Source organism: Homo sapiens, chromosome 10 (assembly GCF_000001405.40).
Source record: "Homo sapiens chromosome 10, GRCh38.p14 Primary Assembly".
NCBI lineage: Eukaryota > Metazoa > Chordata > Mammalia > Primates > Hominidae > Homo > Homo sapiens.
Genome location: NC_000010.11, coordinates 118,276,655 through 118,296,291, shown reverse-complemented (window position 1 = coordinate 118,296,291; position 19,637 = coordinate 118,276,655). Strand labels below are relative to the sequence as shown.

Here is a 19,637-nt window from a genome sequence, read left to right as displayed (position 1 = left end):
TTTACGTCTGCTATGATCCCCCACTGCTCTAAAGGGAACCATGGTTCTAAAAGAGGCTTCACCAGGTGGGAAAACCATCCCTAGGAATGCAGCAGCTTGACCACTGACCATACAAGGGTGCTTCTCATTCATTCCCAGAATGACCAGACTCCCCTGGCCTCAAACTCTCCCTGCTGGATTCTGTAGAAGGGTGAGGGTTCATTGGCCTTTGGTGCCATGCAGACAGGCGATACTTTAGGAGGACGTGGATATAGCTTAGTGAAAAATCACTCCTATTATTATCATCATTTTTTATCATCAACTAGTTAAAAGGACATATGCCAGAAAATTCCTGAGTAACTATAAGCATGATTCAGTTGAAGATCCATCGGCAAAATAATTTTTGAATAATGTGATACTAGTTAGCAAATATAAAAACTGTATCAACTTTGTCACTGTAGTAAACTACCCAGAGCATGGATATAGAGCCCTTCCATTAGAGCTGAGCTTTTCCTCCACTTTCAATTTTTAATTAAAAATTCATTGCTTTGAAAGACATCTAAACACAAATTCCCCTCATTTTGTGGCTTATAAGAACTTTGAAATTGGTGCATTGTTGTAATAATCCCATTCAAATGATTCTATTTTGTTAGGAAAGGACAAAGTGTTTTTGATCTGGAGAATTTTAGGAGAATTATATTTGAGGTTTTCAAATAAATAAATATTTAGGGGTTCCTGCCAGATGGGAAGTGACCAGAGCTGTCAGTGCTTCTTTACAAAGAGCCTCCAGCTTATGTGCTGTTTGCAATGAGAGTCCCAGCCACACACACTGCATGCTCACACATGTTCCATGTCCCCATTGCAGGGCAGTAGTGCTGCCACTGCCCGGGCAGGGCCCAGGGGCCACAATGGTGCAGGCTGAGGCCACCCTGAAGACTCCCCATTATTTGGCCACAAAGAGGTTTTCTTGCAAGGCTAGACTTGAGAGTCTGAGTCTGAGTCTGAGTCTGGCCCCCAGTTGTGCAGACCCAGCCACCTGGCCTTGCCAGCGTTTCAGAGGTATTCCCATGCAGTGAAGCTGACTTGTGCTGACTTTACTTACAAGAGCCCAATTTATGTAAACACGATGCTAATTGATTAATTTACAAGAAGACACAAAACTCCGCAGGGAACTGGACTCTTTCATCCATGGATTAGCAGTCTCCTCTTATTAAGAAAATGACTTAAGAGGCCCAAAATCGCAGTCAGCTATCTTTAGCCATGATGACTTCCTTTTCTAAACTTCAGCAGACCCCTTGCCCGTCGACCCACCCGGCACCAGCACCACCATTCTGATGGGTACCTTCCTCCTTTTTCCATGTCAATACATTCCATCAGATTCATGTCTTCTGGGCCTCTCTAAAGTGACTTTGCTTTTCTGTGCTCCCATCTTTTAGGCACATAATTGGAATTTAATCCTCTGAGACTAACGTATTTTCAAGTTGGTGGTGGTGGCCATGTGGAGGCTCCTTACTGATGCCTTCTTGTGCCACCTCCAATTGATGTACATAGTACATATTTGTAGCATGGTTTTAAAATGACAGTCAAAAATTTTTATTGAGTTTTAATATATATACAGCAAAAGTAATCAATCTTAAGTGCTTAGCTTGATGAATTTATAGGTAATTCCCATGAAACCACCTCTTCCTGGATCAAGATATTTCTAATATCTCTTCCCAGTCAATCACCACCTCCACCCAGAGGTAACCACCATTCTGATCCTAGAGGGTTTTGCCTGTTCTTATGCTTCATATCAATGAAATCTTGAAATCTGAGATCCTTTTGTGTCAAGCTTCTTTTGTTCATCTTATGCTTGTGAGATATACTCATGTTGTGTGTGACAGTAGCACTCATTAATTTTTTACATAGATAAGCCAACCTTACTTTCTAATCACACTTTATTAGAAAATAAGTTTATATATGTATATATTTGGTAAAATTAATTGAGGAATTTAAAATTATGATGAGCTAACATGTCTGTTTAGAATTTGTGTTTCATTCATAGTTCTTGAGCTTTGAATCACATGGGCATGGTGGCTTTTACTCTAGACTGGAGGTTCTAACCCCAGAGCCTTCAGGCAACAGACAGATAACATAAATAACATAAATGAGAACATGTGTGGAGTAGGGATTTGTAGGCCAGGCACAGAGGCCCAGTATTACCAGGTCTTCTGTTTTAAGGAGAAACCAAATATACAGATTTGAATAAAACCTCACTAATTCTTCACTTTAAAAATTTTTCAAGAGGACTGTTGTTTTAAATTTGCTGGCATATATAAACAATCCACAAATCTGTTAATTGTGCCTGTCCTATTCTATCCTTTTTTCCCCCTAGGCTCTTTGCTTACCCATTAAACTAGTGAACTCCACAAGATTGTGATGATGACGGCAACATAGTTCTTAGATTTCTCCAAATCTCCACATTAAAGAAAAAAAAAGTCATAGCAACTAGACACCCAAACCATGAACTCCAACATTCAAGTGGTTGGGGAAAACTTTTTGACAACTTCGAGACCTGCCTATAATTGGCATCTCTGCAGGAGAAAGCAGAGGTAAGCAACAGGGCATCTGAGAGATCAGAGAAAACTTCCAAATAGCCACCAGGTATGTGCTGGAGAGCAGGATAGCTTCAGAATAGACACCAGATATGCACGGGGAAGCAGAGCAACACAATTTGGGAACAGGTAAAACTGAAAGGGTGGGTGCAAGACACCCGCAATAAAACCTTTAGGGGCTGGAGCAGCCGGGCCCCTGTGAACTCTCAAAATGGAGTCCACAGAGCTCCTAAAAACTGAGAATGAAGTGAGTAGACTAGGGATAACAGAGATGAAGAAGGAAAGGGAAGGTGCAGGGTACAGTTACAGAGGGAAACAGCCAGAAATTCACAGAAAGCAAGCCAACATATTTATTCACTCACACGCGCACACACAGAGAGAAAGAGAAAGAGAGAGAGAATATTCAGAACCCTGTGAAGTTAGAAAAGCTCATTGAGCCAATCTTCCTTCTACAAGTTTAGGAAAACTAAAGTCACATGTAGATAACAGCAAAAATATGCCACATAAAGTTAAAAGAGAATAAGAAGCCAAATGACATTCCTACAGGCAGTGAAAAAAATATAAAGCTCACAGAAATTATAATGCACCCCTTCAAAACAGGCTAAAAGACATTAGAAAATGACATGGGCTGTGAAAGAACAGCATAAATCAGAATTAGAAAAACTCAGGAATGAGGCGACAGAATGCAAGAAAAAAACTACAGAGAAAAATAATTTTAGAAGAAGAGTAATCCAGAAGGAACAAAGAGGAAATAAATGGCAAGTAATATTTTAAGAGAAATAGGGAAGGAAAAGAAGAAAAATTTCAAAAAAAAAAAAAGAAGACAAAATATAGATAACAGAAGTACCGAAGAGGAAATCTAATGCAAGGAAACAGAACAACTACTAAAAACTCTGCTTCAAGCAATGTTTTCAAAAATCAGAAAGAAAATGATCTGAAAACACATGTTGAAAAAGCATGCTATGTACCTGAGAATGTTACCCAGAATAATGAACACAAAACCATACTGTAATGTAATTACTGGGTCTTGTCCAACACCAAGACAAATTGCAGTAAACTAGTAAAATTGCTGGTAAAAAAAAAAAAAAAGGCATCTCTAACAAAAGAGCCTGTAACTTAAAGGGGAAAGAAAATTAGTTATCGTTAGACATTTCAAGGCAATGCTTTGGGTCATAAGAAAATAGAGTAACAGAGTGGCATACTTAAGATACTCAAGAAAATGTGAGCCAAGGATTTTAATTTATCAAAACTGATCTTCAGATACAAAAATAATTCATACATGAACTATTATTATCATGCAAATATATAGGGAAAATTATTCCATGAACTCTTCCTAAGGAATCTAGTAAAGAATGAACTTCAGACTGAAGAGACATTGATGTGATCTCTCTGTTCCCATGGAGACCATGTCAGACATGGTCATGACTGATAGTGAGCACTCTATACATGGAGACGTGTGGAATTGAGAATAAAGAGCAAAGGACATTTGTAATATGTACTAGCTCTATGATCTGACCATATATATATAGCACAGACAAAAAGTAGGAGTTGGGGGGAATGAGGAATATGCAGGAATAAATCCTGGCAAGTCATTAGGGAAACGTAAATCAAAAACACAATGAGACACCAGGTCACACTCACTTTAATGACTATGATTAATAATAATAGTAATAATAATAATAATGGACAATAACAGGTGTTGGTGAAGATGTGAAGATACTAGAACCCTCATATATTGCTAGTGGGACCATAAAATGGTGCAGCCACTGTGGAAAACAGTTTGGTAGTTCCTCAAAAAGTTAAAGAGTTACCATATGACGCAGTAATTCCACTCCTGGGTAGATACCAAAAGAACTGAAAACAGGTGTTCACCCAAAAGCTTGTGCATAAACATGCATTGTAGCGTTATTTGCAACAGACAAAAGATGGAAACAACTTAAACGTCTGTCAACTGATAAGTGGATCCACAAAGTGCAGTATATTCATACAATGGAATACTATTCAGATATAAAAACAAACTAAGTGCTTATGTATGTGACAACATTGATGAACCTCGAAAACATTATGCTAAGTTAAATAAGCTTGATACAAAAGGCCACATATTGTAATGATTCTATTTATACAGTCCAGAGTAGGCAATTGCGTACAGACAGAAAGTAATGTCCAGAGGAAGAGGAATCAGGCATGGGGACTTAATTACTAATGAGTACAGGGCTTTTTTTCTTTTTCTTTTTTTTTTAGGGGGATGGAAATCTTCTGGAATTTTTTTTAGTGGGGATGGAAATCTTCTGGACAGTGGTGATGGTTAGACAACTCTGTGAATACACTGAGGATCACTGAACTGCACACTTTTAGGATGATGAATTTTATGGTATGTGAATTATATCTCAATTTTAAAAAGTAAATATTGGCAGATTATAAAAATGACAGTTGAGCTTACATTACTCAGCTATTGGTACTGTTGTTTAGACTAATGTTTTGCAGACATGGTCTATGACCCACCTGCACTGGATCACCCAAGATAACTGATTAAAATGCATTTTCCTGGGATCTCACCCAGACCTCCTGAAACAGAATCTCTTGGAATGGGAAGCAATAGAATTTGTATTTTTAGTAAGCCTATAGGTAATTCTGTTGTACAAAATAATGTTTAAAAACTATCTTAGTGGTTAAGGTTATTTTTTATATGTAAAAAAAATCTTTCAATGAACAAGAGATGCCATGTGTCTACAAGTCCTAATAGGAAAAACAACTCTTAATTGCAGAGCAAAAGTATCATTCTGGGGTCTCCCTACATCATCTTCTAGGAATTTCCTTTCCCTCCCTCTCATGTTGAGCTCTCATCACCTGTATCCCACACCTTCCACCTACTCAATCTCTTGTTTTGGTGAGTCACTTCCTCCAGAGCTTCCCAAGAAAGAATACAGAGGAGAAGGGGTTCTTTTGGCACTTACATGATTGAAAATACCTTATCCATCTATGGCCATACCACACTGAACGTGCCCGATCTCGTCTGAAAATGCCTTAATCCACCCTGTAATTGTTTGACAGCTTGAGTTTAGAATTCTAGGTTGGAATTAATTTTTCTTCTAAATTTGGAGTCTTACTCTGCTGCTTTCTAGGTTCCATATTGCTACTGAGAAATCTGAAGATGTTGTGACTCCTGTTTCTCTGTGTATGATGTGTTCTTGGTTTTTTTCTCTTTTTCCTCTGGAAGCTTGTAATTTCCTCTCTTTGTCTCCTGTGTTCTGAAAGCTTGTGTTGATGCACTTTTACAAGATCTTTTTCATTCATTGTCCTGGGTACTTAGTGGGCCCTTTTAATTTACCATCTAATGCCTTTCAACTATGGGAAGCTTTCTTCAAATATTTTATTGCTATATCCGCCTTCTTTAAAAAAATTATCCTCTCTTTCTAGAACAACTTGAATTTTTTTGCTCTATTTCTTAGGGAATATTCTCCATTCGTGTTCCAAGTTTTCAATTGAGGGTTGCATTTCTGCTATATTTTAAATTCTTTGAGCTCTTTTATTAATCAAAATATTCCTTTTTTATAGTAATCTGCTCTTGTTTCAAGGTTGTAATATCTTATCTCTTAGAGGTTTATTTCTAATTAACATACTATATGTTTCCACTAGATTCCTTTTTAATATTCATTTGTTTTGTTTTCTGTTTTATATTATAATGCTTGGTTGTCTCATCATATTTAAGAGTGGAGGGATGAAATGCTAACGTAAAGCTCTGGGAACAGGAGGGGAACTGAAGCCCTTGGCTTTCTCTTTCGTAAGATGACCTAACTAGGCTGTGAGTTGGGAAAACATTAATGACAGTATTATAAATTGTCCCTTTCAGACTGATCAAACTATCCAAAGACTCTACTGGTCTCCCCTTGGAAGATGGAGGCCTGGTTACCAGCTTTCTGGAACCTAAATAAATAAACAGGTAGGATCTAAACTTCTTACAGGTAGACAATCTCTTGACACCTCTGGTTTTGGCATACTTTCCCCTCCCTCAACCATGACTATTGTCCTTCAGTCCATAGACATTCCCTTTTGTCTTCTCCAGAGAGGGGTAGGGAAGGATGTCAGTGCTTAGAATGCTAAGTGCTTAGGAGGAGATTTTCAGTCTTCCTTATTTTAGCTGCCCTCACCTCACCTGCACTGATTCCATCCGCCCTGAGTGGTAGGTTGGCCTTGACTTTCTCCCTGTTCTGTCAGGATTAGGCCATCTCAAATCTGCTCTATTCTTTTCTTCATCTGTTAATTTTGCTGCGAATGACTCCTTTTACATTTTACTGCCCTTGGAGACACATGCCTTTAAAAAACAATGTTTTTACTATTATCTGATAGAAGGAATGGAGGTAGATAAATTCCATCTATCATCTTCATCCAGAAGTCTCTCTTAGTTTTTAAAATAAACGTTACTGGGGTGTGATGCATGTACATTAAACTGCATCCATTTAAAATGTGCAATTTGATTAGTTGTGATGGAAGTCTACACCTATAAAATCTCCACCACAATTGAGATACAAAATATTTCCATCATCCCCAAAAGATTCTTTTTGCCTTGTTTGCAGTCCATCCCTCCCTCCAATGCCCCAGGCAACCCCTGATTTGCTTTTTATCACTGTAGGTTAGTTTGCATTTTCTATAATTTTATGTAAATGAAATCATACAATATATGCTCTTTTGGGGGGAGTCTGGATTCTTTCACTCAGCATAAAGATTTTGTGATTCTCACATGTTGTTACATGTACCAGTAGTTAATTCCTGTATATTACTGAGTAGTATTCCACTGTGTGGATGTAACACAATTTGTTTATCCATTATCCTGTTGTAGGACATTTGGTTGTTTGCAGTTTGGGGCCATTGCGACTAAAGCAGTTATGAATGTTCATGTACAAGTCTTTGCTTGGGACCTTTCATTAATTCTTAACTGAACTATTTCAGTTGACCTCTTCCTGGGTCTTACTGTCTCCAACCTCTCCCTATGCCAATGCAGCCTACATATTGTTTGCAGAACATACTTCTAAAGGCACGGCTCTGATCCTATCACACCTTCAATCATGTATCATAGTCTACAAGTAAAAGTCAAAATGCTTTATTGCCAAGAACATCCACTTATCTTTCTACATCAGTCATAGCCCACCCCTTAGCACCTTTCCTCTGTCCATAGCAAACCCCACTGTCCTCTACCTGTACCTTCTACCCTTTCCTACCCCTATTCCCCATTTCTTCCAGGAGAGCCTCCTCCCATCACTGCACATCAGATGTGCTGCAGCCTTTGCAGGTGTGGAAGAAGGGCCATTTCTGTCTTGATATTCAAGTTGGTTGTCTATCCCTCCTGTAATTCTCCATCACCTTTTCTGTGCCTCTCATGAACTCACAGCACTTTGGATAGAGGAAGCTCTCTGCTCTCTACTTAATGAGTAAACAAGTGAGTGCATTTATAATACTGTGTATAGGATGCATTCAACACAATGTGGCTTACCCTGCATCATTGGGACATGAAATAAAACGTGTAAGTGAGTTATCCAGGGATCTTAAATGTAATAGCACTTAAACTATTCAACTATTTTATGAAAATGTTTCTAAAATGAGTTAAAAATGCCTCTGCCCTCTTAACCAGATTTAACTGAACATAATTTAGAACTTTTTTTTTTTGAGACAGAGTCTTGCCCTGTTGCCAGGCTGGAGTGCAGTGGCGCGATCTTAGCTCACTGCAACCTCTGCCTCCCAGGTTCAAGTAATTCCCCTGCCTCAGCCTACTGACTATCTGGGAGTGTAGGTGCATGTAGCCACGCCTGGCTAATTTTTTGTATATTAGTAGAGACGGCGTTTCACCATGTTGGCCAGGATGGTCTCGATCTTCTGACCTCGTGATCCACCCACCTCGGCCTCCTAAAGTGCTGAGATTACAGGCGTGAGCCACTGCGTCCAGCCAATTTAGACCTTTTAAGAGGTCAGAGTGATCACTGTAATCACCATTTATAGATATGTGCCATCGTATAGGGATGTCCATGGGCAGTTGTGTGTGTAGAGCTTTTACCCCTTCACTAATGACCCCCTACATACTAGTATTTCCTTTCTCCCTTAGGCTATCATTTCTTACTGCACAGTGCCTGGTTTCTGCCTTATGTTATTCATAATTACCAATGTAACGGCCTGTAGGGTAGAGAGAATAGGTTTTGTTCAACTGCATGGACTGATCAAACTCTTAGATATGGATAGATATGCGATAAAGCAAGAACGGTAAAATGCTAATAGTAGAACCTTGGCATTGGGTAAAAAATATGTTTCCTGTAAAATACTTTCAACTTTGCTGTATCTATACAACATTTGCAAAATAAAATGTTGGGAAACAAGGCTCCTGTGGAAAAGGATTTTGGTTCTTTATCTTCCATCTTTCTCCTCCTGCATGTCTGGACCAGATGCGGAAATTGTTGTAGCTGTCTCGTGACAGTGATGGCTGTTTTGTCACACTCAGGACCCAAGGAGCAGGAAGACAGAGGATCTGGGTCCCTGGTGCACTCCTCAAACAGCTACACCAGTAATTCCTTTTGCAAGCTCTTGCTGCAGGAGGCAAACCAATCCTCAACTGTCGGAGACAGTGTTGCCTGGATTTTCTAACTGATAAACTTGGATATTCTAGAAAAACAAATACTTGTTAGAAAAGTTTTAAATTAAGATAGGTGGCTCATAGAGAGAGACAGCTCCAAAACATTTTTCTTTCCCCGGTGCCTTTTGCAATACACTTGCAATTTCTTCTCTGTGGCACAGCGTCTCATTAGATAGACATGGAAAGTGGTGGCCCAATTTTGAAGGGAGGATCTGGTGAACTCTTGAGCAGAGGACAGCAGCGCTCAGCAGGCTGTGGGGTCAGAGATTCCCTGATTCCATTTTGGAAAAGCGCCCCAGCCAAGCAGTTCAGAAGTCATTATTATGGACAAGGACGTCATGTCAGGCTGTGCACAGCCTCGAGCAGGGGGCCAAGGCAAAAGGGAGCGCAAAATCAAAGCTGTGATCCCTGGTCAAAGACTGGCCTTGGGAGCTGGAGATTTCCTGAATAGGTGCTAATGCGAAATGACTTAGTGCCCCTGGTGGGGGATCCCGATTTACTAGCAACATGCACTCATGGCTAACTTTTAAAAAGTGAAGTCCCGAAGTGTGGTCTAATAGCAGAGCTCCTTCTCCTCTTGTTAAAAAATAAATTACATTAAGAGTTCTCCTATTTTGATCACAGAGTGATTTTTAAAATACATATTTATTAGGATTGTAGCATATTTGCTAGAAATGGCTCAGCAAAGCATTTCCTTTCCCTTCCCATGCTGGGCCGGTATTTTCCACCTGCCCTCACTTCAATTCTGTGTCTCTTGAAGCCGGCTTTGCCCTAAGGAAAGGGGTCTCGCTGCCTTTGTTTACACATGGATATGGCCGACCCGCTTCCTGCGACAGCAGCTGTGGGAGGCTAATTCTCCAACCTTGGAATGTCGGGAGGCGTGTGGAGGGCTGTTCCTCTTTCCCCCCAAGACAAAAGCTCTTTACAAGCATGCTTCCTGTTAAAGAGTAGGAATAGGATCTCAAGATTGCAAAGGTTTCTAGAACCTGGTCAGAGCTGACTCTGCTCAGTGCGTGTTGTTACAGCGAGGGCATGTACTTCCCTCCACTTAGGCCCGAGAGCTGTGTGTACCTCTGACTTCATGGTGTTTGCTTGCCTGTGACCCAGAAGATAGCATCATGTCATGGACCTGAAACCCCAGAAAGTACAGCATGGTGCAAAGATGACTGTGCAGGTGTCTGCAGGTGACCCTGATTCTCACTGGGGCTCCCTGGGCCGATGCCAAGGCTGTGGGCCACTTAGAATGGCTCTGTCCTCTGGCCTCAAAGCTCTTGGATGCACTTCCTGGGACACTACATGGAATGGGTTGGGAGAACCAGATCCCCTCTGGATGGGGGGGAAGGCAGTTGAGGGACAACAGCAGCTTTCTGGGTCAAGAGTCTGCCCACCAGCCTTGGAGAGAGCAGCCCCAGCCTCCAGACCGTAAGGGCTGCCCCTGTGGGTTAGGGAGATCCAGGGTGTGAGTCTCTCTTGGGAAAGGCTTCCTTCCCAGAGAGGTTTTCCTAGTTTACCTATTCTGTGCTTGGATGTCTGATATGGTTTGGCTTTGTGTCCCCACCCAAATCTCATCTTGAATTACAATCTCCAGGTATTGAGGGAGGATCCTGGTGAGAGGTGATTGGATCATGGGGGCAGTTTCCTCCGTGCTGTTCTCATGATAGTAAGTGAGTTCTGATGAGATCTGATGGTTTTACAAGTATGTGGCAAGTTCCTCCTACACTCAGTCTTCCCTCTCCTACTGCCATGCGAAGAAGGTTCTCGCTCCCCCTTTGCCTTCTGCCATGATTGTAGGTTTCCTGAGGCCTCCCCAGCCATGCAGAACTGTGAGTCAAACCTCTTTCCTTTATAAATTACCCAGTTTTGGGAAGCTTTTTATAGCAATGTGAAAATGGACTAATACAATGCCCAACTCACTGCCTTCAGCCCAGATCTCACTCTTCTGAGCTCAGACCCTGCTATCCCATTGCCTGCTGAGCATCTCTTTACTCTCCTTCTTAATGAGAGGTCCAGGAATCACAGGATTTAGCTAACTCCAACTCAACCTTTAGGCCTCACATTAGATGTCCCTTCCCCCAGGAAGCCTTCCCTGACTCTCTCTATCCTGACAGGGTGCCCCTCTCCTATGCACCACGTGGGCCTGTACCTCCTCTATCACAAAGCTTAGCATGTTCTGCTGTGAGTCCTTGCACTATGTCTCCTCCACTGGGCTGCAAGCTCCATGAAGGCAGGACTGCACCTCTGTTTTGTTCATGGCTGTGTCTCCAGCACCTGGTTGGAGGCAGGGTGCCAAGGCAGTGCTCTGTAAATGTGTGTCCAAAGTGTCACTGAAGGGATTACTACACCATCCAAGTCCGCACACAGGTGAGTTTGAAGTGTGACTGTTAATGGTAGTGCTTAACTCACAGGCTGGCTTCAAAGCCACTTCCAAAAGAGAAACTTGTAAGATGGTTGAGCCACAAAATTGAATAAACCTCCCAAGCTAATTGGGTCTCTGAGTGCGATTGCGCTCCTTTGAATAAATATGCTTTAATACGATAGTTTAAAAACAAAAACAAAGGGGTCTTGCTGAATTAGCCAAACCTCACACAACGACAACTCATGAAACACCAGGGCGGTTTTTTTCCCTGCATGAAACACCAGGGCAGTTTTATTCTGCATTTTTTTCTGTAGTTGCCTCTTCTTGCTTTATCCAAAAGCCAGAGAAATAAAGAGGTACGTGACAGATTTGCCATTGAGCAACTCTTTGCTTTTATCAATCCTGAGGTGGGTTTTTTTTTGTTTTTTTGTTTTTTGTTTTTTTCAGAAAAAACAAGGGAAGGAAAACAACCTTGGGAATGAATTACAAAGTATTCTCTCTAGGTGCCACATATATGAAAAAACAAAGGGGACTGGGTGGGGATAGAGAAACCGGAACAAATATCTGCTGAATACCTACTATGTGCAAGGCAGTCTAAGCACCTACCAAGTGCTGTTCTAGACATTCTTTTTTTCTTTTTTGAAACAGAGTCTCACTCTGTCGCCCAGGCTGGAATGCAATGGCAGGATCTCGACTCACTGCAACTTCCGCCTCCTGGTTGAGGCGATTCTCCTGCCTCAGCCTCCCAAGTAGCTGGGATTACAGGCATGTGCCACCATGCCCAGCTAATTTTGTATTTTTAGTAGAGACGGGGTTTCATGGTGTTGGCCAGGGTGGTCTTGAACTCCTGACCTCAGGTGATCTACCCGCCTCAGCCTCCCAAAGTGCTAAGATTACAGGCATGAGCCACCGTGACCGGCCTAGACGTTTAAAGTATCTAATTGCTTTAGTGTTTGCAATAAGTCTGTGAGGTAGGTATTTTTATCCTGTTTTATAGACAGGTGAGCTGAGAGGCTGAGATGTCAGGGAGAAGGGGAGCAACAGAGGTTAAGTTACAGAATAGCACATGGTTGGGGGCTGGGGTGCTAGGATCAGACCGCAGACTCTTCAGATTCCAAGGTCATGCTTTCTCCACCATATTGCAGAAATTTTCAACCCTGATGACTGAAGCCGACTAGAGGTCTGCAAATTCGAGTTTGAATACCCAAGATTTGATGTAAGACAAGCAAACTTTGATTGGTGGTCAGAAATTACTGTCAAAGAAAGGGTTTTCCTCCTGTCGCCCCCCTTGTATGATTTATGTGAGTTTTGTTGCCTGTCACATTGGGGTTAAAACAGTCCCTAGCTGTTCTGGTACCACGGATCAAGGACGTGGGTCCCAAGTCACCCACTGCATATGGTCAAGCATTTGGGAATCAGGGATTCCTTTAAGAATCTGAAAAAAAAATGTATAGTCTCTCTTTAAAAATAAAATGCACAAAAACTTATATACAATTTAAGGAAGACCAGAAAGCCTTGGAGTTTGGGGAGTTATTCCCAAAACTCTAGGTCAAGAACCCTGAACTGGATGCTAGACTCTTCAATGACAATCTTGCTCCGTGTGTGTGTGTGCGTGTGTGTGTGTGGTGTGGTGTGGTGTGCGCGGTGTGTGGTGTGTGTGTGTGGTGTGTTTGGGGTGTGTGTGGTGTACAGTGTGTCTGCTGTGTGTGTGGTGTGGTGTGTGGTGTATGTGGTGTGTGTGTGTATGTGTGGTGTACAGTGTGTATGGTGTGTGGTGTATGTGTGGTGTGGTGTGTGGTATACAGTGTGTGTGGTGTGTGGTGTGTGTGATATGTGGTGTGTGGGGGGGGTGGTTGTGTGTGTGGTGTACGGTGTGTGTGTGCATGGTGTGTGTAGTGTGTGTGGTGTGTAGTGTGTGGTGTGTGTTTGGTGTGTGGTGTGTGTGGTGTGTGGTGTGTGTGGTGTGTGTGGTGTGTGGTGTGTGTGTTCAGTGTGTGTGGTGTGTGGTGTGTGTGGTGTGTGTGGTGTGTGGTGTGTGTGTTCAGTGTGTGTGGTGTGTGTGTGCAGTGTGTGCAGTGTGTGTGGTGTGTGTGTGCAGTGTGTGTGTGGTGGGTGCAGTGTGTGTGGTGGGTACAGTGTGTGTGTGTAATTACAGTAAATACTCATTTAACATCATCAATAGATTCTTGAAAATGAAAACTTCAAGTGAAACAACATATAACAAAACCATTTTTTTCTCACCAACATTACAATAAAAACAAGAAACAATGTTATTTGAAGATCTACTCTATATAGTTTTCCTTAAAGTTGCAGTTTCCAACAACCTATTGACAATGTGAAGCGAGGACTTACTGTGTACATATGGTGGAGCACGAGGCAGAGAGAAGTAGAAAAATAAAAGTTAATCATAGTCTTCCAGAGTCTATTCTATAGCTAGAAATGAGCACTAGGCTTAGAGCTATTTGCATGTGTCTCCTCCGGTACTGCAGCCTCCTTGCAGGTTAGCCCTTCCCTGCCTGCAGCATTTGGCTTAGGGCCTCCCAACCTGCAGGTGCTTTTGGTAGGTATTTGTTGATGAATTAACTGATATTTTTGCAATTATTCAACCCCTTATCCAATCTTATATCTAACCAATAGCAGATTACCCTGCATGAGCACAGATTACCCTGTAACGTCATGTCCTGGATTCTGGTCCCTGTGCTGCTGCTAATCAGACGGTGGCACCTTGGTCAAGTCACTCCTGCTCTCTGGGCCTCATTTATTCATTTTGACTGGCCCTTGCTATGCACCAGAGGCAGAGCTGGGAAGTCACTGGGGTTACAAGATGGATGATTCAAGGTCTCCAAGGTCAAGAAGATCTGTCTTGTAGGAAGCCTTGAATATAAACAAGTAAGGGTGATATTTTGTTTCACAACCATCAAGGCCTAGGCACAGACCCCTCAGCACACTCATCCTGGGGCCTCGCAGCCTGGTAGAGCCCTGCAAAGAAGCACAGTCAGTACCAAAAGACCATTGCCACGGTGCATGTGTGTGCCAGGTTCAGTAATGGCAGGACAAGATGCCTCAGTGTTCTCAGTTGCCAAATCTGTAAAATGGGAGGTTAGATCAGAGCAGAGTTTAGTCAATTATAGCCCTGCCAGTGGATCAAATTTGACCTGCCAGTTATTTTTGTAAACAAAGTTGTATTGAGCACAGCCATGCTCATTTGTTTACATATTGTCTAGAGCTGTTTTTACGCTATAACGGCAAGAGTTGAGTCACTGCAACAGAGATTGTATGGCCCGCAAAGCCTACAATTTTTACTCTTTTGCCCTTTACAGAAAGGTTTGCCAACCTTTTGACTAGATAATCTCTACTTTTCCTTTAATCACAATACCTCCATGACTTCCTAAGCAGGTAGAATACACTGTTTGCATTAAATGTGGTTTTCTTTAAAGAAAGTCTTTGGGTCCCAAGCAAACAGTGAGTGGCATTTTCTGAGACAATGGGTACTGGAGACCAAGTCCTTGGAATCCAGAATGGAGGCTGGGCTCTGTCCCTTGAGGAGACTATTTTTTATTCTGTACAAAAATTTGTGCTCATTGACTTGATGGACCCATTAGGGAATTGTTTATGAGTACCGGTTGGTGAGCAGGTACTTGCAATTAAAATGGACACTTCCAGAGAGTCACAGTTGACAAATGCACTCAGTTGTGTAAGAGCTGATCCACATGCAAACTGAGGGGTCTACTTGGCTTATTAGGCTAGCTCGGAAGTCATCCATTCTGTATGGGGTTTTCTTTGCAAGACTCCAGAAGAAAGCAAGAATCAGTAGATTGGAACTGGGCTTACCCCAGGAAAGTCTGAGAGGAGCAGGCTCTGAGCAGTTCCTGGGAAGATCGGTGAAGCCTGGAGCAAGGAGAAAAACAAGCAATGCTAGGCTGAACTGCATTTCACCCTGGTCTTGTACCCTTCCTTCTCTCGGAGAATCCCTTCTCAATCTTTTCTCTTGACCCATTGAAGGCAGACTCCAAGTCACTAGATCTCTTATTTATCTTGGAACCACTGTGGGTGATTGCATTATTGTCCTTAATTTCTTATCCTATCCTGTATACATCCTCTCCTAGTGGTTCTATAGCTCTCCCAGTATCTCCATGGGCAGAATGGCAGAATGGAGTTTCATGCTTCTTGAATTTGGGCTTGGCCATGTGACTTGTTTTGGATAATGATAAATGGGTAGAAGTGACAGTAAGCTACTCTGAGCCTAGACGCATGTTTTCACTTGTTATTTAGTACCTCTATAATCACTATGATATGAAAAACATGACAAGGTCAGTGCACTGGTCAATGAAGGCTGAAACCTGTATGATGTAGGGTTGCCTTGACCAACCATCAGAGCTGCAGTGGGAAACAGCTGCCAAGATACCTGATGCAGAGCCCTCAGCTGAGCCCAGCCTACATCAGCCAAATCCCAGTAGACCAAAGATATGAGCAACAATAAGTCATTGATATCTTAAGCCACTGAGATCTGGGTGATTTGTTACACAGCAAAGCTAACCGATACCAACCTCCCACAAGCTCTGGAAAAAATGGTTTATCACAAAGCAAGATATCTATTACATGAAGGGGCCAGGGAAAGTCTACCAATGGATTACCAATGCATGGATTGGCATGGATTTACCAATGGTCTAGGCAAACACTAGACATGGATAGAGTGCTTCTTTATTCACGGATAAAGGAGAATAAGGAGGTGGAAGGGAGAAAAAAAGAGAAGAAGAGGGGAAGGAAGTGAAGCAGAGAGAGAGAGAGAGAGAGAGAATATGGGCAATTGATTGAGTAAAAAGAAGAAAAGATGGGCCTGTAGCTTAAGAGAAGAACATAACTGAAATGCAGAAAAAAAATCAATATTTTGAAAAACGTTTATCTAAGGAAACAAAAGTTTTTGGATAGCTTCTGCTTGATACTTTCAATAAAATTTAAGAGAATATGGGCTTACAAAATTAAGAAATTAAATGTAAGATAAAACAACAGTGTTCACAGTATGATCCAGGTTACGTTTTGAAAACACTTCCCTTTCTCTCTTATCTCCAAGCAGAATCAATACCTCCTGTCCCTTTACCCCTAAAGCACCTTGTTCCCCCTGCTCAAGTCGGTCAAGTAGTACCTGCTGTGTTCTACTATGGTGGGTGAGTTCCTGGGATGTTGTGACCTTTTTGAAGGAAGGCCTGTACCTAGTGAAATTCCTCCTCTGGTCTGCCATGATAAGAGAGACTGGGCACCCAGCAGAAACACACTGAAAGCCCCCTTTTAGTACTAAAATGGCACCCAGAAACAGGATGCTCCTATCACTAGCAGAGAGAAAACATAGAGTGGAGATGGGGATGCAGCACAGCTTTGGTCTTTGCTCTATCCTGAGTGTCGTTGTTGAGATCTGGTGAGCCAGAGACAAAAGCACCTGGCCACAGGTACAAGGCAATGATTCCTCTCTTGGTGCTATCAGTCATCACCTATCTAACAATCTGTCGCACTAACCCTCCCTGGGGAGGGAGAGAGGGCTTTCCCAAGCCTATGGAGAGTACAAAGGGAAGCAGGGCTTCTTTGACATTGAGAGGTTTATTGTTCCAGTCCAACACTTGGAATGTCTCCTGTTTTCTCTGAATGAAGTTTCCCTGGGTGGCCTTGGGGAGTCCTCATCATGGCTGGTTTCTCACATGGCTGTTTAGATGAAGCTTTCAGAGTGCCTGCAAAATAGCAGTAGGATTCAGCAGGAGAATGTGCCAGGGGCTCTCAGCTGCAGAAAGAGCCATGTTCCAAAATCAGGAGCAGGGGCAAGGAGGGAGGCACAAGAAAAGCAGCCAGCATTTGCTTACCTTCTTAATGTGTCTCCTGGTCTGGCTGCTGATGTTTCAATTCCACATTAATGAGTCACTTTTTTCATATCCTCCTGCATTGTTCTAACCACTAGTAAGTAAACATACAGCCTTTGAACAATTGTTGAAAAAGTGCCACTTTTGGAGAATGTGATCAGGCCTTTCTCATGATCAATCCCATCCCTCCACCCTCATCCCTGATTATGCTATTGCCCAGCAGATGCCTTTGCAACCTCAGCAGATCTCTCTTTTTTGGTCCCCCTAAGAACTCATCTAAGTCTGGAAGAGGCCATGCCCGCTAGGACACAGTGCTGGCCTTTGGTGCTTATATACATCTTCCCTGCTTGACCCTCCTAAGGTCTGTTCACAGTGGATGCCTGGGGAGATGAGGAGAAAAGGTATGGGAAGGGTGAGGTGCAAAACTACAGAAAGCCTCTGGCGTGGATTTTCCTTGAATTTCTTTCTGTCTCCCACAGCCCACTGGGACACCTCAGAACCCCACTGGGATGCACACTTGGGCATCTCTCTGCATACCTGTGGGTGGCAGTGAACACATGAGTGTCTGGTTTATAAAGCCACCCCTGCTGATTCTGGCCCTGCTCCTCCACCTCTAAATGTGCAAAGCCCAATGTATCTATTGCTATTACCTTGATGGTTCTGGCTCAGGGTCTGTCATCAGGTTGCAATCAAAATGTTGACTGGGGCTGCAGCCATCTGAAGGCTTGACTGGGGCTGGAGGATCCACTTTCAAGGTGGCTTAGCCACATGGATAGTAAATTAACTCTGGTTATTTGTAGGCAGTTTCGGTTCCTCCCTACATGGGCCACTCCACAGTGCTGCTTGAGTCTCCTCACAGCATGGCAGCTGGCAAGTGAACCAAAGTAAGTGATCCCAGAGAGCACAAGGTGGAAGCTGCAGTGACTTTGCAACCTACCCTCAGAAGTCACACCCCATCATTTCCTCAATGTGCTATTGGTTGCATAGTAGCCCTATTCAGTGTGGAAGGAACTATGCAAGCGCAGGAATGACAGGAGATGAGAAACACTGGGGGCCATATTGGAGGCTGGCTACTAAGTGATACAGTTTGGATATTTGTCCCTGGTTAAAACTCTTGTTGAATTGTAATCCCCAGTGCTGGACATGGGGCCTGGTGGGAGGTATCTGGATCATGGGGGTGAATCCCTCATAGCTTGGTGCTGTCTTTGTGATAGTGAGTTCTTATGAGATCTAGTCATTTAAAAGTGTGTGGCACCTCCTCTCTCTTTCTCTTGCTCTGCTTCCATCATGTGATGTGCCTGCTCCCCCTTCACCTTTCACCATGATTGTAAGCTTCCTGAGGCCTCCCCAGAAGCCAAGCAGATGTTAGCACCACGCTTCCCGTACAGACTGCAGAATGTGAGCCCCAATAAACCTCTTTTCTTTATAAATTACTCAGTCTCAGGTTTTTCTTTATAGCAATGCAAGAATGGCCTAGTAAACTTAGGGTATGAGATACTTGCCTAGTGTAAGAATTTTTTGAGTAAACAATAGTTGCTAACACATATCCTGTATTTGCTATGTGCCTGTTGAAAGTGCTTACATGTGTTAATTTATTCAATCTTTCCAACAACCCTGTGAGGTAGGTATTACTATCCTCATTTTATATATGAGGAAACTGAGGTACCAAGAGTTTAAGTAAGTTTCCTAACATTATTTACTTAGTATATAGAAAACCCAGGACTGAAACTTAGGTAGACTGACTTTGGAAGCCACACTTGTAAGCCCTGTATATCCTGCCTTTTGGCCATATTAAACTCTGCCACCATGGCTTGGTTTGCAATTGTTTTGTGGGGGTGGGAAAGGAAATATCAAGGATAGAAGAGAGCCAAGGTCTTGTTTGCAACTGTGAATAGCACATGTAAGAGTCCAGTAAGATTATGATCTACATAATGACGCTTGTTGTACATCCCTCTAATGACAGCTGGCTCCCTGGCTCCCATCAATGTGCAGTAACATCCTCAGGATGACTTCTGACAGTGTGCATATGCCATGACCAGGCCGCTGGAACATCTTCACACCTCCCTGGAATAGAATGCAATTACATTTTCCCTTTAAATAAACTTTTCAAGCCAATCTATTAAATGGTTATCTGCTGTCTGCTCCAGGGAGTGCAGGCAGATGGAGAGCTGGGCTGGGGTAGACCAGTTGTAAATTCATACACACATACACACACACACACACACACACACACACACTTGAAGTCC

At 42.5% G+C, this 19,637-nt stretch overlaps 2 annotated features.

The window, feature by feature from the left end:
• Positions 9,892–10,391: an enhancer, noted in NCBI's record as "H3K27ac hESC enhancer chr10:120045413-120045912 (GRCh37/hg19 assembly coordinates)". NCBI's record gives its function as "activates a minimal SCP1, AML or CMV promoter by ChIP-STARR-seq in primed H9 embryonic stem cells {active_cell/tissue: H9 hESC(primed)}" and the evidence as "EXISTENCE:reporter gene assay evidence [ECO:0000049][PMID:30033119]".
• Positions 10,392–10,893: an enhancer, noted in NCBI's record as "H3K27ac hESC enhancer chr10:120044911-120045412 (GRCh37/hg19 assembly coordinates)". NCBI's record gives its function as "activates a minimal SCP1, AML or CMV promoter by ChIP-STARR-seq in primed H9 embryonic stem cells {active_cell/tissue: H9 hESC(primed)}" and the evidence as "EXISTENCE:reporter gene assay evidence [ECO:0000049][PMID:30033119]".